The 10368-nt window shown below is 40.8% G+C and overlaps 2 annotated features.

Annotated features, from left to right (window-relative positions):
* Positions 1100 to 1149: a silencer, noted in NCBI's record as "silent region_3864". NCBI's record gives its function as "represses an Ori minimal core promoter by ATAC-STARR-seq in GM12878 lymphoblastoid cells {active_cell/tissue: GM12878}" and the evidence as "EXISTENCE:reporter gene assay evidence [ECO:0000049][PMID:35858748]".
* Positions 1300 to 1409: a silencer, noted in NCBI's record as "silent region_3863". NCBI's record gives its function as "represses an Ori minimal core promoter by ATAC-STARR-seq in GM12878 lymphoblastoid cells {active_cell/tissue: GM12878}" and the evidence as "EXISTENCE:reporter gene assay evidence [ECO:0000049][PMID:35858748]".

Here is a 10368-nt window from a genome sequence, read left to right as displayed (position 1 = left end):
TGCATCAGGTACTGCCTAATCACTATAACATTCATTCTCACAACATCCCTGCACATACGTCTTCTCAATTCTATGCACAGTTCTCAAACTGCATGTTGAGAAACCTGAGCTGCAAATGTGAACCCACAGAATACTTCAAATTTTCAAGGGAAATACAGTGACACTCGATGTTTGCTGGACACTTCACAAACTGCTCGAAGTAGTTCACAATTTCAATAGTAGATGACGCTATATTCCATTAGATATCACTGAATTTTGCAAAGCTGGGTTTTCTGCTGTTGCTGTAATAAAAAGCAAACACTGTGAGGCCGGGTGCGGTGGCTCACGCCTGTAATCCCAGCACTTTGGGAGGCCAAGGTGGGCAGATCACGAGGTCAGAAGTTCGAGACCAGCCTGGCCAACATAGTGAAACCCCTTCTCTACTAAAAATTAGCTGGGCATGGTGGCAGATACCTGTAATCCCAGCTACTGAGGAGATTGAGGCAGGAAAATCACTTGAACTCGGAAGGCAGAAGTTGCAGTGAGCCAAGATCGCGCCACTGCACTCCAACCCAGGTGACAGTGCGAGATTCCGTCTCAAAAAAAAAAAAAAAGGAAACACTGAATGAAAATCAATTGACCTTATTCCAAAAATCAAGAAATTGTATGGTATCCAAAAGGCACACAAATTCCATCCATAAGGAATTGTGACTATTTAAGAATAAAATTAAAATTTATTTTTTCTTTCAGTTTATGGGTATTTTTTTTAAATAGCTACCAAGTTGTTGGGACATACTTAATAAGTTGATTTAGACCTAATTAAATAAACAGGACCGTTAATAAACAGGATTGTTGGTCATTTTTCTGGCCTAAGGGCACTATGAAAAAAATCACTAAGACCCGGGAGGCCAGAAACAAGAAAGTTTTAGACCTTCTATATTAACATGTTTGAGGTAAGAAATTAGGCCCAGGGAAGTTAATACCCTACCCACATCTAAATTTTGAGATTTCAATCCAGAGGTTCCTTATTTCAAAGTCCATGTTGTTTCTACCACCCTACATTGCCTCCTGCATGTCAGGCCACAAACCAGTTCTGTGAACACAAACCAGGGTCATGATCGGTCACCGCCTCAAGGGACTCATAAATGTGGTCAAGTGCGTTGTGGGTGCTGTACCAACACCTCCAGCATCATGCTACCCACACACATTATTTATAACCAACCAGGAACTTCAATTCTGCTTCCCCAATTCTCTGTCTGGCTCATAAGCATACTCCAAACACAGGTCCCTAAGGAAAAAGAATGTCCCTTATACAAAATAACTCTGCTAATAATGTATGGCAATGTGACATCATTTTAGGCAATCTGTGATGAGGCTACACATGCAGGTTGGGGAAGTTCAGTCAATGAAGCAGGCCCTGAAAAAGAAGAACTGGTGGAGTTTTGTATTTACCAAGCAGAACACTTCTAATGGTACAAACACCTTAGGAAATTCTCAGACTGAAATAACTAGTATGTAACATGATGTCAGACTTCCTTCCAAGGAATATATAAAACATTAGAGAATTCTTTCCTTCACCACAAATGAATACAACTTCCTCAAAACAAAAAAGTAGGCAAAAGAAAATCCTGATGGCAAAAGTATTGAATCGATTATTAAATGCCACAAAAAAAAATGTAGTGGCATGCTATATAATTTAATCATGATTTGCATTGAGAGGAAAAAGACCAAAAATAATCAAATGCAAATTATCAAAAAAAAAAAAAAAAAAAAAAAAACAGCTATTGAGTTTAAGGAAACGTAGGAGACTCTTCACATGACCAAGTAGCCAAACCTCTCACGTCACCTATGTCTTTTGCACCAATAGCTCTTCCCCAGCCCATACTTTCAGCCCTGTGGGAGTTCCCTATGACTAATGTAGGGTAGAAAAAATATTATTCCCTCTACCCTCCTAGGTTCTCTGGCTGAGGCCCTAAAAATTAGACCAACAAAGACAAATTCACAGTAAAAAGACAAACGTTGATTAACATGTGTTTACACAAAGGAGCATTCAGTGATGAGTACCTCAAAGCAGTAGTAAGAACTTGGATTTAAATAGCATCTTAACAGAAGAACAACAAATTTTTAGAGAAATGACAAAACAAAAGAAAAGGGCTTTGAGTTTCTATAGCTGCAAATTATGTGAAGGGAAATGCACAAGGGAACTAACTAATGGAAGATAATAGCTAGTTTACAAATTTATGTCACACTTTTAGGCAAATAGGGAAAAGGCAGAGAGCTTTTCTTGTATCTGCTTCTTCTCAATTGCCTTCAGCTTAATATGATCCTTATGCCAAAGTGGCATGTTTTGGGGTGGGATATTATGCTGCCCCTCATTCACTAAGTAGGAAGAAAAAGTTCATGCCTGGCTGACTGAAAATAGGCTACTGCTGCACTTTCACCTCACACAGGGGGACTGTGAAAGGTGATGGGGAAGAGTACTGCTTCCAGTAAGCAGAGCGCTGAGTACATTTGGTGTTGATGATGATGATGATAAGCAGTCACCAACCCGGCATGGCGGGGGAAGTGAAGTGATCATAGTTAAGAGTGCACATAGATTACTGGGTAATCACAAGTTGCTGAGCTGGTTTGTCACATTCTGGATGAAACAAGATACCAAGATTATAAAATCAGAGACAGAGATGTTTGGGAAAGTAGCGCCTGAATGAATTTATGGAATTTTAAGCATAAAATGTGTGGATCTTTGTGTCTCAGATCAATGCCCAAAACAGAACATCTCCTGAGGAGGAAGCACTGAACACCTGTGTGGATAGGATGAGGCATCCACTGGGGGTCAGCCGGCCTGTGTCCTCAGCTACCCAAGGAACAACACTGGGTCCACAAACTGCATGGCCATGGTAATAGGCATGGAGGCAACTCATGAGCCCTGCTACAGTTGACCTAGCCTCTGCTGCTGCGGCTGCTGGAGGTCTGACTTGGCAGCATTAAGGATTGAATCTAAACCCTCAATATGGTACCATCCTTCAATGGCACCAACCAGTCACTTGGTTACAAGTTAATTAAGTCAGAGCCCTTCTACCTTGTAGGGGACAGCAAATCATGCTTATTAGGACTGACAAGGATTACAGGCATGGGTCTGCCTTCATTGCCCTCAGTGCATCCGTCAGAGAGCCCCTGCTAAATGTTTAAATCCTCTGTATATTTCTTTACCTCAGCAAATACCTTTACCATTGTGCAGCCCACATTGCCTTCCAGTTTTGTATGTCTGTAAAATCCAGGTCTTATTCTTCATGAGTTCCCCATTCCTACCACAGGGCCAGACCACATAGCATAAGCTTTACAGATATTTGGTAAGTAAATGAAAGAATAAAAAGTGCATGCAGCTGGGCACAATGGCCCATGCCTTTAATCCCAATGCTTTGGGAGGTCAAGGTGGGAGGGTCATTTGAAGCCAAGAGTTCAAGACAAGTCTGGGCAACATAGCAAGACTGTTTCTACAAAATAAAAAAAAGAAAAATAGCTGATTTGGTGGCATGTGCCTGTACTCTCAGCTACTCGGAAGGATCCCTTGAGCCCAGGAGTTTGAGGCTGCAGTAAGCCATGATCACAGCACTGCACTCCATCCTGGTGACAGAGTAAGATGCTGTCTTTTAAAGAAGGAAGGAAGGAAGGAAGGAAGGAAGGAAGGAAGGAAGGAAGGAAAGAAGGGGGGAAGGAAGGGAAAGAGAAAGAGAGAAAGAGAAAGAAAGACAAAGAAAGAGAAAGAGAGAAAACTCATGCAAATACCCAAATGAGGGATACTAAGAGCTGTAAGTAGGGCAGTAGCAGTGGGTTTGGAGAATCCTCTGTCCTTTGACTCTGAGGGCATGCCCCCTCACAGTTACCACACCAAGAGTGGGGGAGCCTTTCATAACTATAATGGGCTCAGGATACAGGGAGAATCAGAACAGGTAGCAATTTGGTTGGCGAAACCATTATATTATATATTCATTATTAATAGCCATGATTATCACAATGACACAAAAACCTAGTGTTAGAAATCTCGGCAGGGTGCGATGGCTCATGCCTGTAAACCCAGCACTTTGGTAGGCTGAGGCAGGTGGGTCACCTGACGTCAGGAGATCAAGACCAGCGTGGCCAACATGGTGAAACCCCATCTCTACTAATAATACAAAAATTAGCTGGGCATGGTGGTATGCGCCTGTAATCTCAGCTACTCAGGAGGCTGAGGCAGGAGAATCCCTTGGACCCAGGAGGTGGAGGCTGCAGTGAGCCAAGATTGTGCCACTGCACTCCAGCCCAGGCAACAAGAGTGAAACTGCATCTCAAAAAAAAAAAAAAAAAAAAAAATCTGTCATTCTGTCATGTGTCTCTATAGTCCTAGCACCTGGCATGAGACATATACTAACTATATGTTTGTAGAATGAATGAAAAATGTCTGAATTACTGAATGAGGAGTAACATGGAATATTGAAAGGAAAATGAGCTTAACAGAGAAGCAGGCTTGAATTCATACCCAAGCTCTACATGTGTTAACTACATAACTTTTGGGATGAAATAGATACAATCATAACCTCCTGTATCACACAGAACTTATTTGGTTGAAAGTGTCAGAAAACCAGCCCAAACTATCAATAACAAACTAAAACTGTGGGAAATTTTATTGACTTGCATAATTGGGAAATCCACGTAGTGTAACTTCCATTAGGTCTGATTGAAAAAAGGGATTCAAACTCTGCTACTGGGAATCTAATGACCTCTGCTTGGTTTTATTTGCATACAGATTTTCTCCAGGTGCTAACAAGATGGCCACTATGTGTTCCAAGTTTGTATAGTCCTTATAACTCACATTGCAGAAAAAGAGCAAGACTGGCTGGATGCAGTGGCTCATGCCTGTAATCCCAGCACTTTGGGAGGCCAAGGTGGGAAGATCGCTTGAGCTCAGGAGTTGCATATCAGCCTGGGCAATATGGCAAAACCCCGTCTCAACTAAAAATACAAAAATTAGCTGGGAGTGGTGGCATGCACCTATAGTACCAGCTACTCAGGAGGTTGAAGTAAAAGGATTGCTTGGGCCTGGGAGTTTGAGACTGCAGTGAGTTGTGATCACACCACCGTACTCCAGCCTGGGTAACAGAGAAAGACCCTGTCTCAAAAAAAAAAAAAAAAAAAAAAAAGGAAAGTGACCTTCTCTCAGGCATTGTCTACATCAACCCGGGAAGCAAATACTGTATGTATCACGCATGGGGCAGAAGAAATGATATGAGACAGCTCCTGCCTCAAGGATTTCAGAGTCTAGACAGATGTGCTAAGGTGTAAATTGTGCTATAGTGAGAGACATGCAAATATTGAAACATGAATAATGTTTCCTTGGGACATGAGAGTGATTCAAGAGGGAGCAACATCTAACATGTTGTAAAAGACAAATGAGATTCTCCAGACAGTTAATTTTTCTGGTTAGGGTGCAGTGGGTAGGGAACTCAGGAAGGAGAGTAGGAAAGGCACAGTGTGGCGAGTTCAGGAAGCCAGATGTAGCTTGGTATAATTAAAGCATTAAGTGAGAAGAAGTGACAGAAAATGAGGCTGGAGAGGTAAATGGTTATCAGATCCTAAAACTCTTTTAATGCCACATTAAAATAATTTTGTCTTTATTGTTAGGTTTCAGCTTCACAAATGTAGGTCACTTATACCTTCAAGGGTGAATGGGAGGTGGAAAAAGGGTCGGTAATGGAGAGACAAGGTAAGGGCACAGAAAAGTGGTTCAGACCCTTAACCAAAAGTGTTTAAGAGCATAGAAGTGATTAAGTCTAGATTTCTAGACTCAGGCATCAGATTTTGTCTGGTTTTAAATCCCAGCTCCAATATTTAGGAGCTCATGAGACCTTGAGCAAGTTACTAAATCTCTCTGTGCCTTGTTTTCTTCATCTGTAAAAATGAGATTAACAATAGCTACCTCATAGGATTGCAAAGATTAAATACTCATAAAGCATTAGAACAGTGCCTCAAAAAAAAGTTCCTGAAGTATCTGTTTGTTAATTCTTTTATTGTGTTTTTGCTTAAAGACTTAGTAATGGAAGATTTTTTAATTAAAGATATTATTAATTAAAATGCAAAATTGGCATGAATTATTAAAAACGAAGCCTAAGATATCAAAGAATTTTCCCCACCTATGGAGAGATACTTCATGCCACACCCTTAGGATAGCCAAGGGCACCTGAGTAGAGAGGTTTGAGAGGCACAATTATAGGCAACAAAAAATTAGTAACAAGACCCTCATCATGTAATAAAGGCCAGAGACAGACTAACACGTCCCTAGGCATTGGCAAAGCAGAGGGTAACTGAATGAAAAAAGTAGGGAGATGGGAACAGTTAGGAAGAGCTCTTTTTCTCCAAAATGACTCTTATGTATTCCCTGATGCTTGACATCTCTTGAAAAGGAGATGAGCATCCTCGGTTATAGACATAGAATTAAAATCTAAGTGGGAGTGTTAATGGAGGCTAAAGATCTCACTGAGGCATAGATAACCTATATAGATCCTAAGAGCTGATGAAGGAAGAATGAGTCTTGGGGAGCTTGGAAATTGAAGAGAGGAGGGATAATACACTTCAAGGAATGACTAGGATGTGACATAGTGTTAGACTTCCTTCTGAGGAATATCATTCAGTTCAAAGAATATTTTAACTTCCATCTTGATTTCATTGTTGACACAATGATCATTCAGGAGCAGGTTATTTAATTTCCAGGTATTTGCATGGTTTTGAAGGTTCCTTTTGGAGTTGATTTCCAATTTTATTCCACTGTGGTCTGAGAAAGTACTTGACATAATTTCAATTTTCTTAAATTTACTGAGACTTGTTTTGTGGCCTATCAGATGGTCTATCTTGGAGAACATTCCATGTTGCTGAATAGAATATATATTCTGCAGTTATTGGCTAGGATGTTCTATAAATATCTGTTAAGTTCATTTGTTGTAGGGTATAGTTTAAGTTTATTGTTTCTTTGTTGTCTTTCTGTCTTGATGACCTGTCTGGCGCTGTCAGTGGAGTATTAAAGTCCCCCACTATTATTGTGTTGCCATGTATCTCATTTCTTAGGTCTAGTAGTAATTGTTGCATAAATCTGGGAGCGCCAGTGTTAGGTGCATATATATATAGAATTGTGATATTATCCTGTCGGACTAGTCCTTTTATCGTTATATAACGTCCCTCTTTGTCTTTTTTAACTGCTGTCGCTTTAAAGTTTGTTTTATCTGATATACGAATAATTACTCCTGCTTGCTTTTGGTGTCCATTTGCATGGAATATCTTTTTCCACCCCTTTAATTTAAGTTTATGTGAGTCCTTATGTGTTAGGTGAGTCTCTGAAGACAGCAGAAATTTGGTTGGTGAATTCTTACGCATTCTGTGTCTTTTAAGTGGAGCATTTAGGCCATTTAGAGTCAATGTTAGTATTGAGATGTGAGGTACTGTTCTATTCATTGTGCTATTTGTTGCCTGATTATCTTGGTTTGTTTTTTTTTTTCATTGTGTTATTGCTATATAGGTCCTGTTAGATTTATCCTTTAAGGAGTTTCTATTCTGGTATATTTCAAATATTTGTTTCAAGATTTAGAGCTCCTTTTAGCAGTTCTTGTAGTGCTGGCTTGGCAGTGGCAAATTCTCTCACTATTTGTTTGTCTGGAAAAGACTGTATCTTTCATTTATGAAGCTTAGTTTCACTGGATACAAAATTCTTGGCTGATAATTGTTTTGTTTAAGGAGACTAAAAATAGGACTCCAGTCCCTTCTAGTTTATAAAGTTCCTGCTGAGAAATCTGCTGTTAATCTGATAGATTTTCCTTTACAGATTACCTGATGCTTTTCCCTCACAGCTCTTAAGATTCTTTCCCTTGTCTTGACTTTAGATAGCCTGATGACTATGTGCCTAGGCGATGATCTTTTTATGGTGAATTTCCCAGGTGTTCTTTGAGCTTCTTGTATTTGGTGTCTGGATCTCTAGCAAGGCCAGGGAAGTTTTCCTTGATTATTCCCTCAAATACGTTTTCCAAACTTTTAGATTTCTCTTCTTCCTTGGGAACACTGATAATTCTTAAGTTTACATGTTTAACACGGTCCCAAACTTCTTGGGGGCTTTGTTCATTTTTTTTTTTTTTTCTATTTTCTTTGTCTTTGATGGATTGGGTTAATTCAAAAGTCTTGTTTTCAAGCTCTGAAGTTCTTTCTTCTGCTTGTTTGATTCTATTTCTGAGACTTTCCAGTGCATTTTGCATTTCTCTAAGTGTGTCCTTAATTTCCAGTTGTGACTGTTTTTTATTTATGCTATTTCACTGGTGAATTTTCCTTTCATATCCTATATCATGTTTTTGATTTCTTTAATTTAGACTTTACCTTTCTCTGGTGCCTCCTTGGTTAGCTTAATAATTGACCTTCTGAATTATTTTTCTGGCAATTCAGAGATTTCACCTTGGTTTAGATCTATTTTTGGTGAGCTGGTATGATCTTTTGGAAATGTTAAAGGACCTTGTTTTGTCGTATTACCAGAAGTGTTTTTCTGTTTCTTTCTCATTTGGGTAGACTACATCAGAGGGAAGATCTGGGAATCAAGGGCTGTTGTTCAGATTCTTTTGTCCCACGGGGTGCTCCCTTGATGTGGTATTCTCCCCCTTCCCCTAGGAATGAGGCTTCCTGACAGCCAGACCTCAGTGATTGTTATTGCTCTCCTGGGTCCAGCCACCCAGTGTAGCTACTGGGCTCTGGGCTGGTAGTGGGGAGTGTCTGCAGAGAGTCCTGTGATGTGATCCATCTTCAGGTCTCTTAGCCATGGATACCAGCACCTGCTCTGGTGGAAATAGCAGGGGAGTAAAGTGAACTCTGAGGGTCCTTGGTTGTGTTTCTTGCTTAGTGTGCTGGTTTTGTGTTGGTTGGCCTTCAGCCAGGAAATGGCACATTCAAAAGTGCATCAGCTGCAGTCCTATAGGGAGGATGCAAACATGCCCTAGGGACACCTGGTTAAGTATTCAGGTTTCTCAGGTGGTGGGCAGGGCCATAGAGCTCCCAAGAGATTATGACCTTTGTCTTCAGCTACCAGAACAGGTACAGAAAGACCACCAGGTGGGGGCAGGGTTAGGTGTGTCTGAGCTCAAAACTCTCCTTGGGTGGGAGTTGCTGCAGCTACTGTCAGGGATGGGAATGCGGTTCCCAGTCTAATGTATTTATATTCCCAGGGGGATTATGGCTGCCTCTGTTTAGTCATAGGCTTCACCCCACTCCCACTCAGCCTTCAGTCCTAAAGACTAGTCTCACTCCCACCATGTCCCCTCAACAGCACTATTTCCAGGCAGCCGGTGACCAGGGCTGAGAACTTGCCCCAGATCATGAGCCTCCTTGTTGAGAAAGCAAGCCGACTCACAGTTTTTTGGCGTGTCAGGGAGTTTGCAGAGGTGATCCAGTTCCTTCAAAGGGTCTGTGGATTCTCTCAGCTTTCCTGATATATTCCTGCCATACTTCTTGGAGCAAAAGTTCATGATGTGAGTCTCCACATGCTCTGTCCATCAGAGTGGGAGCTGAAAGCTAGTCCTGCCTCCTACCTGCCATCTTAATCCAGTATCCCTGGCTTAATTTTTTTTTTGTTATTTGTGTAGAGACAGGAGTCTCCCTATGTTGCCCAGGCTGATCTTGAACTTCTGGGCTCAAGTGATCCTCCCACCTCAGCCTCCCAAAGTGCTGGGATTACAAGCATGAGCCACTGTGCCCAACTTGAACCCAGTCTTAAACCTGCAAATTCCCTCAGCCATAACCACATGAGAAAAATGAGTGAAGATACCACCCTTGCTGAACCACAGATCTGGCCTCAAAAGAACCAGAGAGTGTGGTGGTGTGGTCCAGCCAGAGTCCAGGGGCTGCCCTTTCGACAGATTAGTTAGTGGCAAGCTGATTCGGTGTGTTGGGTATCTCTATCCCTCCTCCTCCTGAGTCAGCCCAAGCTCTAGGTGCTTGGATTTCTTCAAAAATTATTGCTGATTTTAGCTTTGTAAACTGCATAAAGCTATGGATATAAACAATACAATAAAAAGTCCCAATAAATATTTTGGCTCTAAGCATCAATCTAATTCGTTTTCAATATTAATCTAAACATGAGAAAAGAGAGGACAGGGAAGGTCAAATATTCTTAGAGTAACTCATTGAAAGACAAAAATATTCTCAGATAGTCCAAGTAATTACTCAGAGAATTTTTGCCATCACAGTTCTAGGCATGATCTGAAGTAAATTATTTGCTTCTATTTTTTTAATCATGAAATAAAATATAGTCATAACTATGATTACCTCTATACAAACTCTAAGGGGAATTCATGTTATCTGATGTAGCTGAGCAGCTAAGTTCTTGTTTCA

This window comes from Homo sapiens, chromosome 11 (assembly GCF_000001405.40).
Source record: "Homo sapiens chromosome 11, GRCh38.p14 Primary Assembly".
Taxonomy (NCBI): Eukaryota; Metazoa; Chordata; class Mammalia; order Primates; family Hominidae; genus Homo; species Homo sapiens.
The sequence above is the reverse complement of the archived record's forward strand: the minus strand, read 5'-3'. Positions and strand labels throughout refer to the sequence as shown.